Source organism: Homo sapiens, chromosome 11 (genome assembly GCF_000001405.40).
Source record: "Homo sapiens chromosome 11, GRCh38.p14 Primary Assembly".
NCBI lineage: Eukaryota > Metazoa > Chordata > Mammalia > Primates > Hominidae > Homo > Homo sapiens.
In genome coordinates, this window is record NC_000011.10 from 77,198,436 (window position 1) to 77,223,432 (window position 24,997).

Genomic DNA, 24,997 nt, shown 5'->3' on the forward strand with positions numbered 1-24,997 from the left:
GAGAAGGGCTGGGCCTGGGTGTGGGAGGCCTGCCTCTCAGTGCCTTGGTCTCGTCCCAGGCCCCAGTCTCCCCAAGAACGACGTCATCGTGGCCGTCAACTGGACGGGTGTGTACTTTGTGGATGAGCAGGAGCAGGTACTTCTGGAGCTGTCCTTCCCAGAGATCATGGCCGTGTCCAGCAGCAGGTGAGGAGGCCCGCATGGAGATGCAGACAGACAGAGGGGAAGGAGAGGGGCTGGAGCTTCCCTGCGGGTCACAGGAAGTGAAGAGGCATGAAGTGGCCTGCCTGGTTGCACGTGATTGGGCAGTTTGTGCCGCACTGTGCAGACCCCTCTGGCACCTCCTAGTGGAGGGATGGGCTTGGGCTTTACAGCACATTAAGGCTGTTCTGAGACAGGAATGGGCTGTCAGGACAGGCAGGGGCAGGTGAGTGTGTACAAAAGAGCTTGACCTGGGGGTTCAGGGGACTGAGTAGCACTCACTCTATGTCTTCATTCCTAAAACAGGAGTCTTAATACTTTTCTCGCATAACAGTGGTGGGGAATGAATGCAATAATAGATGGGAGAGCTCTTTATAAACTGCAAAGTGCAGTGCACATAGGTGGAATGGTGGGGTGGGTTGCTGGGATTGACTGGCTTTCCCAGCAGTGCAGTGGCTCCCTCCTCCACCATCTGGGGCTTGTAGCAGTGTCTTTGGGTTGTGTCTGATATGGGCTGGAGTCAGACTGTGTCCAGCACTGACCAGACACATGCCAGGCACACAGGATGCAGTAGTGACAAGATAGTCCTTGTCCTCTTGGATCTTCAGTCAAGAGAGGAGACAGACATTGAATAGGCCATTTTAAAGCATGGTATGATCAGGGCTGTGGGAGGGCAGGGAGGACTTCCTGGAGGAAGTGGCATGTAGGTTGAGATTTAAAGGGTGAGTAGGAATTAGACAGGCAAAGGAGAAGTAGGCCGGGCCACTGTGGGTCTCCCTCTGGGCCATGCCTGACTCTGGCCAGGCCAGCTCTGACTTAGCCTGAGATGTGTCTGAGCTGGGCCACGTCTCCCACTGGTTGGGGCATGACTGACTCAACTGGCCTTGATCTCCTTCAGGGAGTGCCGTGTCTGGCTCTCACTGGGCTGCTCTGATCTTGGCTGTGCTGCGCCTCACTCAGGCTGGGCAGGACTGACCCCGGCGGGGCCCTGTTCTCCGTGTTGGTCCTGCAGGGGAGCGAAAACGACGGCCCCCAGCTTCACGCTGGCCACCATCAAGGGGGACGAATACACCTTCACCTCCAGCAATGCTGAGGACATTCGTGACCTGGTGGTCACCTTCCTAGAGGGGCTCCGGAAGAGATCTAAGTATGTTGTGGCCCTGCAGGATAACCCCAACCCCGGTGAGTGGCTGCTGGTATGGACTGCCTGGCACTGGGGGTCAGGGTGTTATGCAGACTGTCTTAGTCCATTTGTGTTGCTATAATGGAACACTGGAGGCTGGGAGATTTATGAAGAAAAGAGGTTTATTTGGCTCACAGTTCTGCAGGCACTACAAGAAGCATGGTGCTGGCTGGGCACGGTGGCTTATGCCTGCAATCCCAGAGCTTTGGGAGGCTGAGATGGGAGGATCACTTGAGGCCAGGAGTTCAAGACCAGCCTGGGCAACATAGTGAGACCCTCGTCTCTACAAAAGGTTAAATAAATTAGCTGGGTGTGGTGGCATGTGCCTGTAGTCATAGCTCTTCAGGAGGCTGAGGTAGAAGGATTACTTGAGTCCAGGAGGTGGAGGCTGCAGTGAGCCATGATTGTGCCACTGCAGTCCAGCCTGGACAAGAGTGAGACCTCCTCTCTTAAAAAAAAAAAAGAAAAGAAACAAAGAGAAAAAAGATGGCACCAGCATCTGCTTCTGATGAAGGCCCCAGGAAGCTTCCACTCATGGCAGAAGGAGAAGGGGTGCCTGCATCAGAAGGAAGGAAGAGAGCAGGGGGTGCCAGGCTCTTTTTAAACAATCAGTTCTCACAGAGACTATATAGAGTGAGAACTCACTCATTACCGTGAGCACGGCACCACACTGTTCATGAGGGACCCACTCCCATGACCCAAACACCTCACACTAGGCCACTGCCAACACTGGGAGATCAAGTTTCAACAGAGAGATTTGGAGGGGACAAATATCTAAACCATATCACAGACCATGCCCCGTGGCCTTGGCCTTGGCACTCAAGGCTGCTAGGATCTTGTTCCCATCTTTCCCCTGAAGCTAGACCAAATAGCAGAAGCCTGTGCCTTTAATCTGTAGCCTGTGGGGAACCTCTTCTCCCTCCCTTCTTCTGGCTCTTCAATACTCATCTCCTGTCAGCTCTCCAAGTTAGATCAGGGTCCTCCTCAGTGTTCCCAAAAGACCCACCATCTTCAAGTGATAACAGCAGTAACAACTACTCTGCCTGAGGCTACCGAGGCCCTGGCCAAGTGTGGGAAAGACAAAGATGAAATGGACCCCACCCTGTCCTCAGTGGGGAGGGGGGTGGGAAGAAGACAGTGACAGGCCTGTGACAGTGCAGTGAGCAGGGAAGCCCAGAGCCACAGGAGCCCAGAGGAGAGGCCCCATGCCGACTGGGGTCCAGGGAGGAAGCCCGTGTGACCAGAGCACAGGGGGCAGAGAGCTAAGCGTGATGCCAGCACAGAGGCGGGAGAAAGCTGGCCTGTCCAGGGAACTGCGAACAGCTTGGTTTGGCTGGGAACAGGCACAGTGAGGGAGGAGAGGCGAGGTGGAAGGAGTCTGGGAGGCCCGCTCACAACAGGCCCAGGAGTGTGGGGCTTCCTCCCAAGGGCAATGAGGAGCCGTGGAAGGCTTTTGAGCAGGAGAGTAGCCCACTCTGGTGATGGTCTCTGTATGGAGAGTTGTGACAAGGTGGAGGCAGAGTGGCAAGTGGGCAGACATGAGTGATAACACCTCAGTTCTTCTGTGGGAAGATGTTCCAACTCAGCCTGTCTCTGCCCCCATGGTCCCACTCACCTCTGCTCTACAGCAGGCGAGGAGTCAGGCTTCCTCAGCTTTGCCAAGGGAGACCTCATCATCCTGGACCATGACACGGGCGAGCAGGTCATGAACTCGGGCTGGGCCAACGGCATCAATGAGAGGACCAAGCAGCGTGGGGACTTCCCCACCGACAGTGTGTACGTCATGCCCACTGTCACCATGCCACCGCGGGAGATTGTGGTATGTGGCCTGGGGGTGGCAGATGGGTGGGAGGTGCCATTAGACCCCTCTTTGTCCACTTCCCACAGCTGTACAATAGGTTAACGGTCTAGTGCATCTGTGAAGATGATCTTGGGATCTTATGGGACACACATTTAAAGTTGGGGCAGTGCTCAAACCTGTGCCAGGTGGGGAGGGGCCTAGAAATGGCATCAGATGAGGAACTGCCAAGGGGTGGGGCCGGGGGTGGGGATTGGAGAGAGGTGTATCACCCGCACTGTCTGAACAGGCAGTGGGGGCACAGCTGGGAAGGGGGCCCTGCTTCTTCTGGAGCCCCCTTGAGAGCAGCTCTGAGGACTCACAGCCCAGCTTCCCTAGTGGCTCCTGAGCCAGGCTCAGTGGACGAGGCAGCTCTCATACCATGTCCCGCTGCCTTGTCCAGGCTTTCTGACTGACCCAACCTGATCAGACACCTGGGGAAGGGCCCTGAGCTCAGCACAAAGGAGGCAGCAGGGACCTCAGAGACCCCAAGGAGGAACGGGGCTCCCAGGGTCAGAATGGGGCATGGGGTCCATACCCCTGAAGAGTCTCCCAGAGTCCAGAAGGCTTCAGGGTATACCATGTTGATCCTGGTGGCCACAGGTAGAGAGCTGACCTGAGCCCCCTGTCTCTTGGTCCCTAGGCCCTGGTCACCATGACTCCCGATCAGAGGCAGGACGTTGTCCGGCTCTTGCAGCTGCGAACGGCGGAGCCCGAGGTGCGTGCCAAGCCCTACACGCTGGAGGAGTTTTCCTATGACTACTTCAGGTGATGCCTCCTGGGGAAGGATGGGAGCCACAGGGCTAGGAGCTGCAGGCTTCCGCTACTGTCTGGTCGTGTGCTGGGGCTGCTTTGTGAAGCCCCCACCTGTGAGCAGGGCCTGGGTCAGAGGGAGCTGGAGGGCTGTTTCTGTCTGCCAGGATGACCCGTCCTATGTGTCTCATCTTATCTTCCTTCCTTCAAGAGATGTCACTGCACCCACCCCAGGCTGGGCATTCGAGACTGAGTCCTGGTGGGGATGCGGGCTGGAAGCAGGCAGCTGGGATTCGGCGTGCCCAGCACTGTGATGAGGATGCTTCTGGGGCGGGGGGTGGGGGGCAGTGAGAAGCTTCCTGATGGAGGCGTTGTGCACTGAGCTCTACAGGGGGCGCAGGGTGGTGGGGGAGGCTGGGGCACAGCCCGTGGTGTTCTCGCCGCTGGGGTTTCACAGCTGAGAAAGAAAGGCCCAGTGACTGCCAGTGACTCGCCTCGGGTCACATGCAGGGCAGGGAAGAGCAGGGCCTGGTGCCCACTCTCAGCCTCTGGACACAGGGATGGGTGGGGGTGGGGGTCTCACAACCTGGGGGTTTCTCCCCGGGGCTGCCAGCGATGGGGCGTTGCTGACGGTCCCTGTGCTGCGGCAGGCCCCCACCCAAGCACACGCTGAGCCGTGTCATGGTGTCCAAGGCCCGAGGCAAGGACCGGCTGTGGAGCCACACGCGGGAACCGCTCAAGCAGGCGCTGCTCAAGAAGCTCCTGGGCAGTGAGGAGCTCTCGCAGGAGGCCTGCCTGGCCTTCATTGATATCCGTGCCACTGGGCTGTGCCCAGGGGAGCCAGGGACCGGGCAGGGCCTTCGTCTGCACACTGCCTTCCTCCTGAGGGCCTGCTGCGACCCGGGCACACATGGGGAGGGTTGATGGAGTACCCCCTCCCTTGCACCTTTTGATATGCAAGGGGCTGCCTCGCCCACTGTTTTCTCTGACCCTGTCATTTGGGTGCCAGGTGGATTTGGTGCCTTGTGCTGGGCCAGGCATGCAGGTAGAGCAGGGACCAGCCCAGCCCCTGGCCTCATGGGACCATACACACATCCAGATCAATGTTGAGATGGGACCCGGCAGCACTGTGACCTGACCCATGTGACCTGGAGGGGGCAGAGAGGACTTCCTGGAGGAAGTGGTATCTAGGCTGAGCCCTGAAGGCTAAGTACGACTTAGCCAGGCAAAGGGGAGGGAGGGGGAGTGTTCCAGAGAGAGGGAGCAGCAGCAAGGCCCCGAGGCACACAGAGCAGGGCTGTTCCAGGGCTCCGGGGCTTCAGCACAGACAGGATGGGAAGACTGGGCTTAGGCAGGGTTCCCAAGCCCTGTGAGGAAGCTTGGGCCGTGTCCTAAGGCCAGGGTGAACCACTGGGCAGGGGGTGGCATGGTCAGATTCACCATCTGGGAAGTCCATCCCAGCTGCTGTGAGGGCTTGGGATGTGGGGCTGGTGACTGTGAGGAGGCGGAGAGAGGGTGGGGCAGATCATGCCCATTTTGTGAGTGTGCAGCCTGAGGGCCCAGGGTCACAGCTTCAGGTGATGCAGGCCCTGTGGGAAGTGGGGCCTCCGGACCCCAGGCCAGTGCTCCCTCTATTCGGCACAAGCCCTTCCTTGACAGTCCCCAGCTGTGCTCAAGTACATGGGCGACTACCCGTCCAAGAGGACACGCTCCGTCAACGAGCTCACCGACCAGATCTTTGAGGGTCCCCTGAAAGCCGAGCCCCTGAAGGACGAGGCATATGTGCAGATCCTGAAGCAGCTGACCGACAACCACATCAGGTGAGCCAGGCACAGTGGGCGGATGAGGGGCAGACCTCACCTGCTGTGACGGGCAGCTCTTACCCTCCTGAGGCAGCTGCTGGCTCTGCCTGGATGCAGTCCTTCCTCACACAGAGCCGGGAGCTGCTCATGGGCCCCCTCACATCCTAGCTTGGCCCCAACGCCCAAGGAGGGCCTAGCAGGAACTGGGAGGTGGTGGATGTCTTCCTTTGAGTCTGTCCTCTAAGGGTAACAGCCCCAGCTCCTCCTAACGTTTGGCTGGAGCCTCGTCTGGATGCCCCTTCCCTGCCTAGACCCTGCTGTCTGCCTGCAGGTCCAGCTCAGTCAAGTGTCCCCTCCCTGGTGCAGGCTGGGCCGGCTGTCAGCTGGAAGCACTGGCTGAAAACTCTCATGGGTTTGAGTGTTGGTCCCAATGCCCAAAGGGTGCCACCTTCTCCTCCCGCTGGGACAGCCCAAGACAGGAGTAGAAAGTCAGGCACAGGCTCCTCTCAGAGTCTGAGAGAAGCTCCACCCTCTCTCCTTACACCCAGCCCCCCGCCTTCCTCCCCAGCTGTGTCACCCTCTACATCTCTTCCACAAATCCATCCTCAAACTACACATCAGCTCTTTTGACAGTGCCAAACCTTTGTACATACTGTGCCCACAGCCAGGAAAACTTTTCAGCCCCTTCTCTGCATGCCGTAATTTGCTTCATCCTTCAAAGCCTAGTTCAAATGCCACCTCCTCCTAGAAGCCCTCCAAACTTCCCACTGTCAGGCCCAAGAAGCTCAGAGTGGTGGCTGAAGGAGCCTGGGGTGGGACTGGTCTAACTCGTTGCCACTCAAAGTAGAGGTGAATTAAAGAGCTTCTGCGAAAATATAAATCACACTGCTTCCTTCATGGAGAAAGTCTTGCTATGGAAACAAACAAAAAGCCTCAGCTGAAGCAGAGTGCATGGTAACCCGGTGGCTTTTCATTGTGGCATAAGCCCCTTATCTCCACGTGGACTGGTAGCAGTGTGTGGCCTGGCGCGGTGGGCCAGGCACACTTTGGGTAGCACTAGTTGCATCTGGCTGTCAGGGAGAGGGGTCTGTAGGTAGGGTGAGGGGTCCTGAGATAGGGTAAAGGTCAGGAGGGACGGTGCTGCTGTGATGAGCAGCTGAGGGGTACATGGCCCCCTCACCCGGGGGTGCACAGGTCCTGTGACTCCCGATGGCAGCTGCCCCTGCTGGAGCCCACGCCTCCTCCTGCAGGTACAGCGAGGAGCGGGGTTGGGAGCTGCTCTGGCTGTGCACGGGCCTTTTCCCACCCAGCAACATCCTCCTGCCCCACGTGCAGCGCTTCCTGCAGTCCCGAAAGCACTGCCCACTCGCCATCGACTGCCTGCAACGGCTCCAGAAAGCCCTGAGGTACAGCGGCCACCAGGGGCAGGGACAGACACTGGGGCGGGCTCCTGGCCACGCGGGGCTTGTGGGATGAGCCCCTTGGGGATGAGGACCACATAGCAGTTGGGCCCACCCCTGGGGTACCTCAACTGCCAGCTAGACGGAGGTGCGGATCCTGCAGCTGCTCAGGATGCAGCTGGAGAGTCCGGCTGCTCGGGAGTGCTCAGCCCAGAGCTCCCAGGCTATCGGGTGGGCACAGACACCTGGGCCCACTTCATACTCTCCGAGGGCACTTGTGTTCTTCACTTTGCTGGGCCTCTCCACACCCATCGTCCCATTTTACAGATGAGGAGCTCAAGGCTCTGGGAGACTCAGTGGCCGGTCACATCATAGGAAGTGGCAGGCGGGGATCAGAACTGGGGTTGTCTGCCTCCAAGTGTCCCGGTCCCCTGGTCTCCACAGTCCCACGCACATGCCCCCTGCTGCCCCTGCTGCCTTTTCAGAAACGGGTCCCGGAAGTACCCTCCGCACCTGGTGGAGGTGGAGGCCATCCAGCACAAGACCACCCAGATTTTCCACAAAGTCTACTTCCCTGATGACACTGACGAGGTGAGGGTCACCGGCTTCTAGGTCTGCAGTGCCCAGGACAGGGCCGGGCTTCCTGGGTGGACACCAAAGGTGGCCTTAAGCCTCTCCCCCATCACCTGACATTTGCCGCCTCGTCCTCCTGCCCCGTAGTGGAGTCGGGGCTCAGGACGAAGGCCATCGACTCCCCAGGTCAGGGGCCCTTGGTTCCTGATCCAACCCCTGCTTCCTGGAGCAGCTTCCTTCAGAAGGGCGCCCCTCCCTCCCTGTCTCTGAGGAGGACTTGCCTTGGAGAAAAGCGCTTCTCCCTCTGAGCTGGCTTTGCACTGGCTTTGCACCTCCCTGATGTAGGGCCCCACTGGCCCCCAGGTCCAGACCTCCCCTGTCGACTGAGCCCACTTTCCTGCAGGCAGAACCTCAACACCCCTTCCTCCCTCTCCACCTGAGGTGGTTGAGGTTCCCTCCATCCAGGTCCTGTCTGCCAAAGGTCCTGTCTGTCATGCCTGTAGTCACGCTGCCCCTCATGGTCCCCAGCCCCTGCCTGTCTCAACACAGTGTCTCATTCAGATAAGCTTTTCATTTGAAGAGTCATTTATGAAACTTGTCTGAGGCTGGAGACTCAGAAATGCCATAACAGGATTTCATTTGCAAGGACCAAAGACTTCCTCAAATCCTTTCCTGTCCCTCCAGACATCTCTCCTGCCATTAAACTTCCCCAGACGCTCAAACCCTCCCATCTGTCCGGGCTGCTTTCCCCTCCGCTTTTGGGTTTGCTTTTCCTCTACCTCAAGTCTCCTCCTTCTAATCACCCTTCCAGTCATCCTGCTGTGCTCCCTGGACCCCTCACTGTCACTCAGGCTTGTACACCCTGGCCCAGGACTCTGGACGCCAAGGCCACCTTCTGCTTGGAGAGTCGGGAGGAGGAGACCTGGGAAGACCCAGACAGGAGTAGCCCTTTCCTTTTGTTAAATGCCATGCCCAGCTCTGTGCCCACAGGAGGGTGTCTGGCACGGGAGGGGGCTCAGTATAGGAGGCATAGCCAGAGGGGCCCGGGAGGACCAGGTCCCGGGAAAGGCCCTGCAGGAGCCCAGTGCTCACTGCCCCTCCCAGGCCTTCGAAGTGGAGTCCAGCACCAAGGCCAAGGACTTCTGCCAGAACATCGCCACCAGGCTGCTCCTCAAGTCCTCAGAGGGATTCAGCCTCTTTGTCAAAATTGCAGACAAGGTGGGTCCTTTGCCACCTTCGCCAAGGTGGGAGATTTGCTGGGGCCATAGGAACTTACGGACAGCAGACGGAAGAGAGAGGAACTGGGGGAGAGAGGGGAAGAGGGCACTGGCATCTGGCCATCTTCTTCCATCCCTGCAGCCTCCCCTTACATGGAGTGGCTGCCCCCAGCTCTCTCTCTTCTGAGGCACTGCACATGGCTCAAACCCTCTTAGGGGCATGTGCCCAGGTGCTCTGTGTTCTAAAAACACCAGACCCTCACCCTGCCCCAACACACATGTTCTTTCCATATTTGCTTTGACTGGCCCTTAATTGCCATGCTGGGGCAAATTAACCCTTGAAAGAATGTGTGATCATCCCCACTTGATAGATCACATAACTAGGGCTCAGAGAGGTTAGGTAACTTGTCCAAGGTCACACAGCAGGGACTGAGCTCCAGGTGGGTCTGGCTCTAAAGCCCACGCCCCTGCCACCATTTCACATCACGCTCCCCCAGCACCTCTGTCCCTGGAAGTCTTCCAGGCCCAGCTAAAGACCCCTCCACGGGAAGGCCTCCCTGACCGAGTTGGGTGCCCCATCCTGTTGCCTGCTGATGGCTCTGTGTGCCTCTGTGTCTGTTTCCTCACTTCATGCCTGTCTCTGTGCCAGACGCTGGGACCCAGAGGTGACCCCAATGAGGTCCTAGACCCAGGGGAGCCCAGAGCTGCAGGAGGAGCTGGACATGGATGCCAGAGAATGTCCAAGCCAGGGGCTGGGCCGCATTCTTGGCCAGTTTCCCTTGAGTCTAAGGCAGCGTTCAGTGTCCCAGGCACTGAATGGAATGACCATCGCTCCCGGCAAGAAGTGGGCTCTTCCGGGGACACTCAGCAGGCACATGGGGCAGGGTGGGGCTGACACACAGAAACCCCTTCCGGCTGGGAGTGGAGTCTTCCCTGAGAAGGAGCAGCTGCCAGACAGGCCTTAGGTGGGAAGGTCAGAAAATGCAGTGTTGCTTAAACTGAGTGTGCTTCGATGGCCCTGACCCCAGGTCCTCAGCGTTCCTGAGAATGACTTCTTCTTTGACTTTGTTCGACACTTGACAGACTGGATAAAGAAAGCTCGGCCCATCAAGGACGGTAATGAGGCCGGGTCCTGGGATCATCTGAGGCCCAGAGCAGGGAAGTGTGGGCTCGGGGCTGTGCCGTGAGGCCCACCTAGGCGGGCCTGAGTGAGGGCCTCCTCTGGGTCTGGGCTCGGGACGTGAGCACTCCTCTGTGCAGGGACCCTCTGGGTGACCGACTGCCCTGTGCTGCAGGAATTGTGCCCTCACTCACCTACCAGGTGTTCTTCATGAAGAAGCTGTGGACCACCACGGTGCCAGGGAAGGATCCCATGGCCGATTCCATCTTCCACTATTACCAGGTGGGCACCTCTGCACTCTAGTTGCCTTCGTGCACAGCTAGCGTTGCTGTACTTTGGCCCTGAAAGCAGAGACCCACTGACCTTGCCAGGTGTGGGGCCCGTACCAGCCTGGCCTCAAAGGGATTCCTGCCAAGACCACTGGAGCCCCAAGGGATGGCCCAACCCCTGATCCTTGTATCTTCTGATTCTTCAGCCCTTAGGGGCTTGACAGTTCCTCCTCTGAGCTTCCGATCCCTACCTGTTCAGGCCCCTCCTTCAGTGCGGGGCTATCCTCTGACTTCGAGATTCTGCTGTTGTAACTGGGTAATTCCAAGGCCTCTGTGCAAACATTTTCTAGCATAGGCACCTGCAGGAAGCCGGGAGGGAAGCTTGCATGTTGAGCCTCTATTATGTGTCTGGCACTCTTCTCTCATTCTGTCCTCCCAACTAACCCCAAGAAGCAGGCATGTTGTCCCCATTTGACAGAGGGACAAAGAGACTCAGGCCGCGTGCTGTGATTAGGATCACACAGCTGATGGAACTGGGGTTTGATTCCAGGTCTTCATGACTGCAGGTTGGTGCTCTTTTCTGGGCTCAGCCTGCTTACCATTCTGTGGGAGAAAAACCATGATGCTGGGAAGGGCAGAGGAGGCAGGGACGGTGGCTGCTGTGGCAGAGAGGACACTGGCCTGGGAGTGAGAAGGACTGCCCTCATCCAAACCTGGGATCTACCTTTCCTCATGCCCCTCCCCACCCACCCCATGCTGCCCACTGAGTGCATGGCCCCTGGACTACCAGTTCCCCCAGAGTCAGCCTTGACATCTGCTCCTCCTGTCCCACGTCCCAAATCACTTACCTGATGACTGTACCTCCTGGATATCTCTAAAGTCCCCCATGTCTCTCCATCACCACCTTCCCAACCTGGGTCAGTCTACCATCATCTCTGATCCAGAATGGAGGCAGTGACCTTCTCCCTGTTCTCCTCATCCATTTTGGTCCTTTCAATCCTTTCTCCACAGGGTGGTCATCCTGCTTTCCAGATTCCCCCAGTGGATTCCCCTTGCTCGTAGGGCATAACCCCCGTCCTGGCCGTGGCCCTGCCTGGTGGTGCCACTAACTGCTCCTGCTGCCTTGCCTTGTACCTGGCTCTCCTTCAGCTCAGCTGGATTGTTTCCGCTTCTCAAGTGTGCCACAGGGCCTTTGTAATGTTGGGATGCTCTTCCCTCAGTTCCTTCCCTCACCTACTGAGCTTTTAGATGTCAGTCAGCCATTTTATCTTAAAGGAAGTCTGCCCTGTCCTCAAGCCTAGATTAGGTCACCTTGTTATATTCTCTTACAGCACTGTGGACAATTCCTTCAAAGGTTGTCATTATATATCTGTTTGGTATGATTTTTAATGTCTGTCCTTGCCCTGAGACTACAAGTTCCATGGAAGTAGGGAGGGTAGGCATTGTTGCTTAAAGGGCCTGGCTCATAGATGTTCAATGCATGCTTGTTGGATTGACAGATGGGTGAGTAGGTAAACTGGTGGCTCAATGAACATAGAGATGGGAGGATGAATGCTGAGTGAATTGATGGGTGGATATTGGTAAGTGAATTGGTGAGTTAGGTAGGTGAGTGGGTGGATGGGTGGGTAGATGGATGGACAGATAGGGAGATGGATGGAGGTAGATGTGTAGGTAGATAGACCCATAACCACATGGATGGGTGGGTAGGATGGATAATGATTGACTCAGATCTCTGACTGACAATGTATCCTCAGGCCAGCCTCAGTTTCTCTACCTTTCAAATTGTGTATAAGATGACCATAAGGCTCTAGGAGTCTGTGGGCAGCGCCAGCCCTTCAGAGGCTTCATCTCTGCTCTGGGCCCATTCCCCAGCCTAAGTTCCTCTGGTTTTGGGTCTGGAAGTTCAAGGGGGTGGGAGGGCCTCTGCTACTGCTAATGAAAGCAGCTGGTCTCAAGAGAACCCAATGCAAGGAGGCCAGACTGAGAGGCTCTTCCAGAGGAGGATGGGCCCAGGAGGTGAGGGGTATGGAACAGTCTCAGGGTTGCCAGCTGGTCACTCTGAGTTTCTTCATCTTGAAATGGGGCTGCTCATCTCACTGGACTGTTATGGGGGGACATGAGGTAACAGACATGGCCATGCACTCCAACTGCCAACTGCTGAGTCTGTGCAGGCAGACTTGCTCTGTCCCTGTCCTGTGCCGTATCCCCTGGGGGAGCAGTGTCAGCTGAGGCTGGAGAGGTGGGTGGGCCCATGTGCGGGGTAAGGTGGTAGACCCCGGCGTTGGGGGTCTTGGTGTGGTGGGAAAGGAGCCCACTTCTGCCAGGTCCCTGCACGCCTGTGACCTGCTCTGTCTCTGACAGGAGTTGCCCAAGTATCTCCGAGGCTACCACAAGTGCACGCGGGAGGAGGTGCTGCAGCTGGGGGCGCTGATCTACAGGGTCAAGTTCGAGGAGGACAAGTCCTACTTCCCCAGCATCCCCAAGCTGCTGCGGGAGCTGGTGCCCCAGGACCTTATCCGGCAGGTCTCACCTGATGACTGGAAGCGGGTGAGCATGGGGTGGGCATCGGGAATGGTGGGGCCCTGAATGGGCCTCGGGGCACCCCAGGGGCCAAGGGGGCAGACACTGGCCAGCAGCCCAGGGAGGTGCATCTTGTGGTTCTTGTACTTGATGAGGCCGCCCACCCTTGTTCCTCCACCTGCCTTATCCTTCAGTCCTCCATGCCAAGGACTCAGTGGCCACTTGGCAGTCATTTATCCTGTCCTGGTTACCATGGTGACCTGTTTGTCCTTGATACCCTTTGGTCTGCCTGCCTGGGGGTGAGAAGGGAGGTCGGGAGTCCATTAGCTGAAATATGGGGAGAGCCCTTCACAGTCCCCAGGTCTGCTGTCCTAGTCCTGGCCCTGAGGGTGCAGACGGGGCTGGAGTGGGCAGGGGTGGTGTGGGGAGGACTCTGAGCTCTGAGCTGGCCTGCCCTGAGCAGGCCTGTCCCCAGGACTGAGCCCAGCCCTGACCGCCCTGTCCCCATAGTCCATCGTCGCCTACTTCAACAAGCACGCAGGGAAGTCCAAGGAGGAGGCCAAGCTGGCCTTCCTGAAGCTCATCTTCAAGTGGCCCACCTTTGGCTCAGCCTTCTTCGAGGTGAAGGTACACCATGGGCTTCTCAGAGCAGAGGAGGAGGGGAACAGGGCATTGATAAAGCACAGAGACTCCTCCCTAGGACTGTGGGAAAGAGCCATGGCCTTGGACACCTGCCCTGGTGAGGGAAGGAGGGCAGCACCCTCAGCCTTGTCCCAGCTTAGCGTCTTAGCTGGGGTAAGTCCTGGGGACAGAGGGACCAGAAGAAGCTCAGCCTGGCAGTGGAGGCAGACATGTAAACAGGCTGGGGTAATGGAGGATGGCCTGTGTTCTGACACTGGGGAGCCCTCGCCCAGGTGGCAGAGCTCGGGAGGCTCTGCCGGGTGTGAGAAGGCCTCTTAGAGGAGGTGATATCTGAGCTTTCCAGGCAGACCCTGGAAAGAGTGCTCCTGGCAGGGGTCCCACATAGACAAAGGCCTGGAGGTGTGAGAACTCAGGTCTGGGAAGGAAATCCAAGTAGTGAGGGCAGGAGGCGAGAGTGGGCTGTGGAGAGCAGCAGCTTGGCAAGCAGGTGAGAGGCTGGGTTTCCTGCAGGGGTGGCCTGCCTTGGAGGGTTTTGAACACAGGTGACGTGGCCAGAAAGCCTCTCAGGCTGCGGGTGGAGGAGGGGTCTGAGGGGCACAACAGAGGCAGGAGTATGGTGAGGAGGCTGGTGTGAGAGGATACGTATGGTCTTATCACACAGCTAGGATGGGAGGCCTTTTGAGGAGCTTGGCTGTGCGAGGAGAACAGGTAGGTAGCTGGAGGCAGGTGCAGGGTCCAGGAGGCTTTTTAAAGATGGGAGGCCCTTGGGCTGAGAGGGAGGACAAAGCAGAGGATGGCCTGGGGGACCCAGGAAGGGATGTGGGGCAGCACTGAGGGCCCAGCGGAGGTGGAAGCCATAGGTCATGGCAGGGCCGTCAGTACCACATAGGCAACAGGAGAGGCTGACTTTATCCCAGCTGGGGCCAGGCTTCATTCCTGTCCCCAAATGCTTTTCTTGCTCTGGGCCCCCATCTGATGCCTTCTCATCTTTTTTTCTAGCAAACTACGGAGCCAAACTTCCCTGAGATCCTCCTAATTGCCATCAACAAGTATGGGGTCAGCCTCATCGATCCCAAAACGAAGGTGAGCAGGGATAAGGCAGCAAGTGGGGGCGGGCTTCTCTGCCTGAACCACAGACACGGTCCCAGAACGAACCCCACAAGCCCTCCTAGCCACCATCTATCTCTAGACTCATCCACCCATCACGTGGCTTCAAAAGCTGTCAGCGTTTGCTAGGACTTTACCCAACGCTTGCTCCACCAAAATTGCTCTCCTGAAGTTACTAACAAACTCCTTCCTATGGAATGTGAACTCCCTTTAGTACTTGGCCTTTCAGTATCACTGGATGCTCTGCCCATGCAGGTCATGGGGCTGGCTGTGCAGGGGTGACCGTGCATCTGTGTTTCTGGGCCAGAGCAGCCCAGCTGCACACCCAGAGGGTCCGACTGGACAGGTGGTGAAGAGGGCTCGTGACCACCATCTTTCCATTGGCTTCATGCATCACGCATTCCTGGCTGTCCTCTGTGTCTTGGTCATTCCTTCCCGGACCCTTTGGTGCCTGCTCCTGTACACCGTGTTTCCCAAGGTTCTGCCCTGTCTTCTTCTTGGCTCCCTCCTCAAACTCTCCCTGGACCATCTCATTCAGGCCACGGTGTCAGTTCCCTCAGGTCTCCCAATTTCCGAGTTCTGGCCCCAAGTACCCAACAGCCTCCTAGACTTCCTGGGTGTCCAAACCAAGGTGTGGAGGGGGAGGCACCTGCTTCCCACCGCAGCTGGATGGCAGAGCTGGCTTTTCCCTCCGGCCATGGGCTCCTCTGAGGGCCTGAGGCCTTCTGTGAGGGCATGTGTGGGCAAGTGAGGCCACAGGGCCCAGGCCGTGCCTCTCTATGCCCTTTCTGCTCCCCCAGGATATCCTCACCACTCATCCCTTCACCAAGATCTCCAACTGGAGCAGCGGCAACACCTACTTCCACATCACCATTGGGAACTTGGTGCGCGGGAGCAAACTGCTCTGCGAGACGTCACTGGTGAGGGCGCATCCTGCTGGGCCTAGTGGGCTCCCTGCCTTGCCTGCAGCGTAGCCAGCCTCCCAGGGCCTGGAACAAACACAGTAGTGTGCGGCTGGGCCTGGGGTCGTGGGCAAGGGTCATGCTGGGGCCAAGGTCAGGTCAGTTTGAGGCTCAGCTTAGGTCTGGGGAAGGGACTTAATCTGGGGCTGAGGAACAGATCCCTCGTTCAACAACTGTTGTCTGAGTGCCTTCAGTATCTGGGGATCGGGCCCACTGTGACAGCCCTTTAGCCCCCCGAGTTCAACAGTGGAACCATTAACAATGAGACCTCCTTGACCAAGCTCAAACTTCCAAGGCATAGCTCAACTGAGAGCCAGTAGGGTCACTCTTGGAGGGAGGGATCCGTGACTTGAGGGACCCACAAGCTAGGGGCTTAATGTGGGGTCATAACAGTGTAGAACCTTAGCCATCTGGCTGGATGAATTCAACCCTTCAATTGTGCAGATGGGAGATAAGCCCTGAGTAGGAGGGATTTGCCTTTGTCCTGGGTTCTGCCCATTGCAGATTCCTGGGAGCTGTGCTATGGTCTGAGTGGCTGGCCCTGTCCCACCGTGTGCTCGCTTATCTTCTCACCCCTGCTTCCAGGGCTACAAGATGGATGACCTCCTGACTTCCTACATTAGCCAGATGCTCACAGCCATGAGCAAACAGCGGGGCTCCAGGAGCGGCAAGTGAACAGTCACGGGGAGGTGCTGGTTCCATGCCTGCTCTCGAGGCAGCAGTGGGTTCAGGCCCATCAGCTACCCCTGCAGCTGGGGAAGACTTATGCCATCCCGGCAGCGAGGCTGGGCTGGCCAGCCACCACTGACTATACCAACTGGGCCTCTGATGTTCTTCCAGTGAGGCATCTCTCTGGGATGCAGAACTTCCCTCCATCCACCCCTCTGGCACCTGGGTTGGTCTAATCCTAGTTTGCTGTGGCCTTCCCGGTTGTGAGAGCCTGTGATCCTTAGATGTGTCTCCTGTTTCAGACCAGCCCCACCATGCAACTTCCTTTGACTTTCTGTGTACCACTGGGATAGAGGAATCAAGAGGACAATCTAGCTCTCCATACTTTGAACAACCAAATGTGCATTGAATACTCTGAAACCGAAGGGACTGGATCTGCAGGTGGGATGAGGGAGACAGACCACTTTTCTATATTGCAGTGTGAATGCTGGGCCCCTGCTCAAGTCTACCCTGATCACCTCAGGGCATAAAGCATGTTTCATTCTCTGGCCCGACAGTGTCTTTGCTCAGGGAGGGGAAGTGGAAGGGAAGGGCATGTGGGGTCAGGACAGGGCCTTGCAGGGGAGCAGCCTATATAACGACTTCTTTGGTCTTAACCTGCTGGGGCCAAGCTGGTCTGGGTTTGGGGGTTGGGGAGCTTGAGCTCAAGATGTGCCTTAAGTGGCTTAAAGGGAAGAGCTGAGATTGGGGTGGGTTGGGAGGAAGTGCTGGACATCAGGCTGGGAGGTGAGGACCAAGTGTGCATGAGCAGCTGGGGGTCTAGAGGAGGAATCAGCTTCTGGGCTGTAACTAGGGCCAGTGGAGCCACAGCGGCCCTTGCACCTGCCAGAAACACCTTGGCTCATCAAGACATGTCCAAGAACCCCAAGAACAATGCTGCCTTGGGTTAAATCTTCATGTCCAGTGGGTGCCAGTAAAATGTTACTTTGTGACCAGCATGGGACAACCAGGTTTGGCCATGACTGGAGTAGGGCTGCGGGTGGGGGTTTCAGACAGGGAAGGTGTGACTTAGAGGTGGGGCATCCTCAGACTGTGGCTGGGATGAGCACCTAGAGAAGTGATTGATTGATTGATTGATAGTGGAGAATCCCCTTGTGGGGAGGGTTTGTGATCTGCCCTCGAGGTCCCATACTTCAGCAGAGCCAGGTCCTGCTTCTTTTCATACACTACAGTGTCTGGGTCATCAGCATCTGTGTGTCTGTCTACCCCACAAGGAGTGCTATTCCTGATCTCCTTAGCTGTTTGTTAGTGTAGGACTGGCTGGTGTGTGTAAATGGAGGCCTCAAACCAGAGAGCCCTGCTTTCTGGGATGGTAACGTGGCTGTTGGAGGACACAGCTCCACAGGTAGCCCAGGAGAAATCTGAGCCGGAAGGAAGGTGCTGTGGTAGTCTGCCTTATACCACCATCATAAAGAAGAGGAGGCTCAGGTCCAGAAAGGATGTGTAAGTAAGTGGGAAGAGCTCAACTCACTGCTTCTAACTTTGCGCTGCCAGACAGAAGGGGCTCCAGATACTTGTTCTAAGCTCTGGTTTCCCCTCAAGGCCAAAAGCTCTTGAATGTGCATGGATTGTGCCCACCCTCTTACTGGGGAATCAGCAAACCACAAGCTATCAGGAAGTAGCCCACTGCACCATAGAGCAGTTAACGTGGGGTGGGGATGAGATCTTTTTCCCTGACCCATGCCCCTCTCATTCTGTGGCCCAGAGAATGAGATCACTCAGATGGCATCACTATTGCCCCCATCCCCCAGCCTTCATCACCCTGGTTGATCACGAGGGGTCCAAAGAATAGACCACTACCTCTGGCTTCCTGAGAGGTTGCCTTTACTTATATGCACAGTCACTCCTTTAGCAGAAAATATTATGGAGGTGTTAGGATGAGATAAACCTGACAGCAACCAGTTCCAAGACCACACACAGCAGTTTTCCCCTTGCCTAGCCCCTTGAGATGCATTCTTGATAGCGAGAGCACAATGGTTCCCCTGAGAGCCTCCGTGGCCCTTCTGTGTGCCTTTATCAACCACTCCCCACCATCACCACCCTTAGGCAGAGAGAGGAAGAAGCAGGGGAGATGTGGCTAATTCTTCTTTGGAAACACAGAAGGCTATGTCAGATGCAATGGAATATATTGTGACATAGGATTATTTGGAGTATTCAGCCATGGGGATCTCTTAGAGGTCTCTTATTTAAGGATAGGGGACCTCTATGGAGGGCATGGTTGGCTTATCCACCTTCAGGGTGGGCAATGTAGTTTGAAAGGTAGCCTCACTTGTAGCCTGCCTGGTGGGTGCTTGGGTGAGTTCAAAGACCACGGTGGGCATCGGTGGTTGAATCTCATGCTTGCCAGGCTTCAAAGGTGTGACAGCATTCTTGATAGGTAGTAGTTTCTTGGATGGTGCTGCAAAATTGAAATGGCCTTGGTGTTCCTTTCCACTCTTGGGTAGAGCCGGGTAGAGGGCTGCTAGAGTCCAAGGACCTTCCACAACTCGGACAGGAGGTTTCATGGCTATGTGCAAATCTATCTATCTATCTATCTTCCTCATTCTTACTTCCACTCTGAGTATCTGTGGGATGGAAAAGACACAGATTCCTCAAATGTCACTTCTCCACTCTCTGTCAGTCATGTGTGAAATTCAAGTTATCTCTTAAATGTTAGCCACTCCCTTACCCTTTCAGGTTCTTTCCTCCAAGCTCTCCCCTCTACCTCAGGCTTTGTGCAAACTTTATTATGGCCCTCCAATTCAGCCTGGGGCTGGGGCTTAAGAGTCTACTACTGCATGAGGCTCTAGCTCACCATGGAAGTCCTCAGAAAGCAGAGACTGACATTTGCTTAAAGTTCATGTATTCCATAGCCATTAAATTAGTTTAGAAAAATGAGGGCTTCCCTCAATTAAAATGAGGGCTTTTTAAAGGGCAGAGACTTTGTCTTGTTTGCCACTACATATACAGTGCTCAGAAGTGTTTGTCACACAGTAAATGCTCAATAAACAATTTCTGTCCAACAGAAAAAAAAATTAGATGGTAGATACTTCTAATAATGGAGCTAGGAGATCAAGACCAATCCTTCTACCAAAGACAAATTAAAAACTGGATGATATACAAAAACAAGAAAACATCTTAAAATTATCTATGCGTTTACAATATACAGAGAAATTGCATGGCCAAAATCTAGAAGAGTGTGAGAATCTAAAGCCCAGAACTCAGGTTTTGTTTTCTGCTTAGATTTACCTTTTATTTTTATTAATTAATTTTTAAAAGTTTTTTAGTTGTTATAAATATTCAAAGCTTTTTTTTTAACCTGAGTGTAATTCGATCTGGAAGAAACAGCTACAAACATGAGCTTCCATTTTTTTTTTTGTCAGCTTTATAGGAGAAAGGGAATTTTTATTGGATTTGAATGGAATTTTTAGATCAATTCCATGACAATATCTTTATAACTTTTCTAATTCATGAACATGATTGCTCCATTTATTTGGGCATTCTTTCTCTCACTAAAGTTTTGTAGTTTTTAGTGATCAATCATATGCCTTCCCTTGTGAAGGCTTTTTTGATTAAAGTCTATTTTTTCTGATATATTTTTCTGATCTAAGGGATATATACCAGAGGCTGTGAATCTTTGGGGTTATCATAGGATAGTTACCGCTCTTTTATTATTATACTTTAAGTTCTAGGGTACATGTGCACAATGTGCAGGTTTGTTACATATGTATACATGTGCCATGTTGGTTTGCTGCACCCATCAACTCGTCATTTACATTAGGTATTTCTCCTAATGCTATCCCTCCCCCATACCCCCACCCCACGACAGGCTGTGGTGTGTGATGTTCCCTGCCCTGTATGCAAGTGTTCTCATTGTTCAATTCCCTCCTATGAGTGAGAACATGCGGTGTTTGGTTTTCTGTCCTTGTGATGGTTTGCTCAGAATGACGGTTTCCAGCTTCATCCATGTCCCTACAAAGGACATGAACTCATCCTTTTTTGTGGCTGCATAATATTCCATGGTGTATATGTGCTACATTTTCTTAATCCAGTCTATCACTGATGGACATTTGGGTTGGTTCCAAGTCTTTGCTATTGTGAATAGTGCCGCAATAAACAATACGTGTGCATGTGTCTTTATGGTAACATGATTTATAATCCTTTGGGTATATACCCAGTAATGGGATCACTGGGTCAAATGGTATTTCTAGTTCTAGATCCTCGAGGAATCGCCACACTGTCTTCCACAATGGTTGAACTAGTTTACACTCCTACCAACAGTGTAAAAGTGTTCCTATTTCTCCACATCCTCTCCAGCACCTGTTGTTTCCTGACTTTTTAATGATTGCCATTCTAACTGGTGTGAGATGGTATCTCATTGTGGTTTTGTTTTGCATTTCTCACATGATCAGTGACGATGAGCATTTTTTCATGTGTCTGTTGGCTGCATAAAGGTCTTCTTTTGAGAAGTGTCTGTTCATATCCTTTGCCCACTTTCTGATGGGGTTGTTCTTGTAAATTTGTTTAAGTTCTTTGTAGATTCCAGGTATTAGCCCTTTGTTAGATGGGTAGATTGCAAAAATTTTCTCCCATTCTGTAGGTTACCTGTTCACTCCGATGGCAGTTTGTTTTGCTGTGCAGAAGCTCTTTAATTAGATCCCATTTGTCTATTTTGGCTTTTGTTGCCATTGCTTTTGGTGTTTTAGTCATGAAGTCCTTGCCCATGCCTATGTCCTGAATGGTATTGCCTAGGTTTTCTTCTAGGGTTTTTATGGTTTTAGGTCTAACATTTAAGCCTTTACTCCATCTTGAATTAATTTTTGTATAAGGAGTAAGGAAGAGATCCAGTTTCAGCTTTCTACATATGGCTAGCCAGTTTTCCCAGCACCATTTATTAAATAGGGAATCCTTTCCCCATTTCTTGTTTTTGTCAGGTTTGTCAAAGATCAGATGGTTATAGATGTGTGGTGTTATATTCTGAGGGCTCTGTTCTGTTCCATTGGTCTATATCTCTGTTTTGGTACCAGTACCATGCTGTTTTGGTTACTGTAGCCTTGTAGTATAGTTTGAAGTCAGGTAGCTTGATGCCTCCAGCTTTGTTCTTTTTGCTTAGGATTGTCTTGGCAATGCCTTGTAAGTTGGATTCCTAGGTATTTTATTCTCTTTGGAGCAACTGTGAATGGGAGTTCACTCATGATTTGGCTGTTTGTCTGTTATTGGTGTATAGGAATGCTTGTGAGTTTTGCACATTGATTTTGTATCCTGAGATTTTGCTGAAGTTGCTTATCAGCTTAAGGAGATTTTGGGCTGAGACTATGGGGTGATTTTGTATCCTGAGACTTTGCAGAAGTTGCTGATCAGCTTAAGGAGACTTTGGGCTGAGACGATGGGGTTTTCTAAATATACAATCATGTCATCTGCAAACAGGGACAATTTGACTTCCTCTCTTCCTAATTGAATACCCTTTATTTCTTTCTCTTGCCTGATTGCCCTGGCCAGAACTTCCAACACTATGTTGAATAGGAGTGGTGAGAAAGGGCATCCCTGTCTTGTGCCAGTTTTCAAAGGGAATGCTTCCAGTTTTTACCCATTCAGTATATTGGCTGTTGGTTTGTCATAAATAGCTCTTATTATTTTGAGATATGTCCCATCAATAGCTAGTTTATTGAGAGTTTTTAGCATGAAGGGCTGTTGAATGTTGTCAAAGGCCTTTTCTGCATCTATTGAGATAATCACGTGGTTTTTGTCATTGATTCTGTTTATGTGATGGATTACATTTATTGATTTGCATATGTTGAACCAGCCTTGCATCCCAGGGATGAAGCCAACTTGATCTTGGTAGATTAGCTTTTTGATGTGCTGCTGGATTCGGTTTGCCAGTATTTTATTGAGGATTTTCACATCAATGTTCATCAGGGATATTGGTCTAAAATTCTCTTTTTTTGTTGTGTCTCTGCCAGGCTTTGGTATCAGGATGATGCTGGCCTCATAAAATGAGTGAGGGAGGATTCCCTCTTTTTCTATTGATTGGAATAGTTTCAGAAGAAATAGTACCAGCTCCTCTTTGTATCTCTGGTAGAATTCAGCTGTGAATCCGTCTGGTCCTGGACTTTTTTTGGTTGGTAGGCTCTTAATTATTGCCTCAATTTCAGACCCTGTTATTGGTCTATTCAGGGATTCAACTTCTGAATTCGGGTGGGTAACCCGACCTTTCTCACTTTAGTTTTGGGAGGGTGATCTTTGCTGGTTTAGTCGTGGGAGGGTGTCCAGGAATTTATCCATTTCTTCTAGATTTTCTAGTTTATTTGCGTGGAGAGTTTATAGTATTCTCTGATGGTAGTTTGTATTTCTGTGGGATCAGTGGTGATATCCCCTTTAGCATTTTTTTATTGCATCTAATTGATTCTTCTCTATTATTCTTGCTAGTGGTCTATCAATTTTATCTTTTCAAAAAACCAGCTCCTGGATTGATTTTTTTGAAGGGTTTTTTTGTGTCTCTATCTCCTTCAGTTCTGCTCTGATCTTAGTTATTTCTTGCCTTCTGCTATTAAATTTGTTTGCTCTTGCTTCTCTAGTGCTTTTAATTGTGATGTTACAGTGTCAATTTTAGATCTTTCCTGCTTTCCCTTGTGGGCACCTAGTGCGATAAATTTCCCTCTACACACTGCTTTACATGTGTCCCAGAGATTCTGGTATGTTATGTCTTTTTTCTCATTGGTTTCAAAGACCATCTTTATTTCTGCCTTCATTTCGTTATGTACCCAGTAGTCATTCAGGAGCAGGTTGTTCAGTTTCCATGTAGTTGAGAGGTTTTGAGTGAGTTTCTTAATCCTGAGATCTAATTTGATTGCACTGTGGTCTGAGAGACAGTTTGTTGTGATTTCTGTTCTTTTACATTTGCTGAGGAGTGCTTTACTTCCAACTATGTGGTCAGTTTTGGAATGAGTGCAATGTGGTGCTGAGAAGAATGTATATTCTGTTGATTTGGGGTGGACAGTTCTGTAGCTGTCTATTAGGTCCGCTGGGTGCAGAGCTGAGTTTAAGTCCTGGATATCCTTGTTAACCTTCTGTCTCGTTGATCTGTCTAATATTGACAGTGGGGTGTTAAAGTCTCCCATTATTATTGTGTTGGAGTCTAAGTCTCTTTGTAGGTCACTAAGGACTTGCTTTATGAATCTGGGTGCTCCTGTATTGGGTGCATATATATTTAGGATAGTTAGCTCTTGTTGAATTGATCCCTTTACCATTATGTAATGGCCTTGTCTCTTTTGATCTTTGTTGGTTTAAAGTCTGTTTTATCAGAGACTAGGATTGCAACCCCTGCTTTTTTGCTTTCCATTTGCTTGGTAGATCTTCCTCCCTCCCTTTATTTTGAGCCTATGTGTGTGTCTGCACTTGAGATGGGGCTCCTGAATACAGCACACTGATGGGTCTTGACTCTATCCAATTTGCCAGTCTGTGTCTTTTAATTGGGGCATTTAGCCCATTTACATTTAAGGTTAATATTCTTATCTGTGAATTTAATGCTGTCATTATGATGTTAGCTGGTTATTTTGCTTGTTAGTTGATGCAGTTTCTTCCTAGCTTTGACGGTCTTTACAGTTTGGCATGTTTTTGCAGTGGCTGGTACTGGTTGTTCCTTTCCATGTTTAGTGCTTCCTTCAGGAGCTCTTTTAGGGCAGGCCTGGTGGTGACAAAATCTCTCAGCATTTGCTTGTCTGTAAAGGATGTGATTTATTTCTCTTTCACTTATGAAGCTTAGTTTGGCTGGATATGAAATTCTGGGTTGAAAATTCTTTTCTTTTCTTTAAGAATGTTGAATATTGGCCCCCACTCTCTTCTGGCTTGTAAAGTTTCTGCTGAGAGATCCGCTGTTAGTCTGATGGGCTTCCCTTTGTGGGTAACCCGACCTTTCTCTCTGGCTGCCCTTAACATTTTTTCCTTCATTTCAACCTTTGTGAATCTGACAATTATGTGTCCTGGGGTTGCTCTTCTTGAGGAGTACCTTTGTGGTGGTCTCTGTATTTCCTGAATTTGAATGTTGGCCTGCCTTGCTAGGTTGGGGATGTTCTCCTGGATAATATCCTGAAGAGTGTTTTCTAACTTGGTTCCATTCTCCCCGTCACTTTCAGGTACACCAATCAAATGTAGATTTGGTCTTTTCACGTAGTCCCATATTTCTTGGAGGCTTTGTTCATTTCTTTTTACTCTACTTCTCTTCTCACTTCATTTCATTAATTTGATCTTCAATCACTGATACCCTTTCTTCCACTTGATCAAATCAGCTACTGAAGCTTGTGCATGTGTCACGTAGTTCTCATGCCATGGTTTTCAGCTCCATCAGGTCATTTAAGGTCTTCTCTACACTGTTTATTCTAGTTAGCCATTCGTCTTTTTTGAAGGTTTTTAGCTTCCTTGCAATGGGTTCGAACATCCTCCTTTCGCTTGGAGAAGTTTGTTATTACCGACCTTCTGAAGCCTACTTCTGTCAGCTTGTCAAAGTCATTCTCCATCCAGCTTTGTTCTGTTGCTGGCAAGGAGCTGCAATCCTTTGGAGGAGAAGAGGCAGTCTGGTTTCTCCCCATCTTTGTGGTTTTATCTACCCTTGGTCTTTGATGATGGTGATCTACAGATGGGGTTTTGGTTATGGATGTCCTTTCTGTTGATGCTATTCCTTTCTGTTTGTTAGTTTTCCTTCTAACA

The 24,997-nt window shown here is 52.5% G+C and overlaps 2 protein-coding genes across 25 annotated transcripts in view; one reads left to right on the top strand and one right to left on the bottom strand.

Annotated features, from left to right (window-relative positions):
* The window catches only part of MYO7A (myosin VIIA), an 86,996-nt gene extending 70,190 nt beyond the window's left edge, over positions 1-16,806 (top strand). For 5 of the 22 annotated variants that reach the window (XM_047426970.1, XM_047426971.1, XM_017017778.2 and 2 more), the window contains 13 exons: positions 60-186; positions 1,214-1,383; positions 3,013-3,203; positions 3,865-3,989; positions 4,625-4,782; positions 5,641-5,794; positions 7,027-7,182; positions 7,662-7,767; positions 8,854-8,967; positions 9,995-10,082; positions 10,262-10,368; positions 12,717-12,902; positions 13,386-14,151. In XM_047426970.1, the coding sequence (XP_047282926.1) occupies positions 60-186; positions 1,214-1,383; positions 3,013-3,203; positions 3,865-3,989; positions 4,625-4,782; positions 5,641-5,794; positions 7,027-7,182; positions 7,662-7,767; positions 8,854-8,967; positions 9,995-10,082; positions 10,262-10,368; positions 12,717-12,902; positions 13,386-13,835 (2,132 nt within the window). In that variant the 3' untranslated portion in view covers positions 13,836-14,151. Of the gene's footprint in view, positions 1-59; positions 187-1,099; positions 1,384-3,012; positions 3,204-3,864; positions 3,990-4,624; positions 4,783-5,640; positions 5,795-7,026; positions 7,183-7,661; positions 7,768-8,853; positions 8,968-9,994; positions 10,083-10,261; positions 10,369-12,716; positions 12,903-13,385; positions 14,152-14,178; positions 14,226-14,516; positions 14,602-15,424; positions 15,545-16,171 lie in introns of those variants that run through there. The other 17 variants (XM_011545044.3, XM_011545046.3, XM_047426973.1 and 14 more) reach the window with 12 other exon arrangements.
* Positions 18,123-24,997, bottom strand: part of GDPD4 (glycerophosphodiester phosphodiesterase domain containing 4) — an 85,142-nt gene continuing 78,267 nt past the window's right edge. The window contains exons 17-18 of one of the 3 annotated variants that reach the window (XM_011544834.1): positions 18,865-18,879; positions 18,123-18,833 (exon numbers count right to left, since the gene is read on the bottom strand). In XM_011544834.1, the coding sequence (XP_011543136.1) occupies positions 18,502-18,833; positions 18,865-18,879 (347 nt within the window). In that variant the 3' untranslated portion in view covers positions 18,123-18,501. Of the gene's footprint in view, positions 18,880-24,997 lie in introns of all 3 variants that reach the window. The other 2 variants (NM_182833.3, XM_047426557.1) reach the window with 2 other exon arrangements.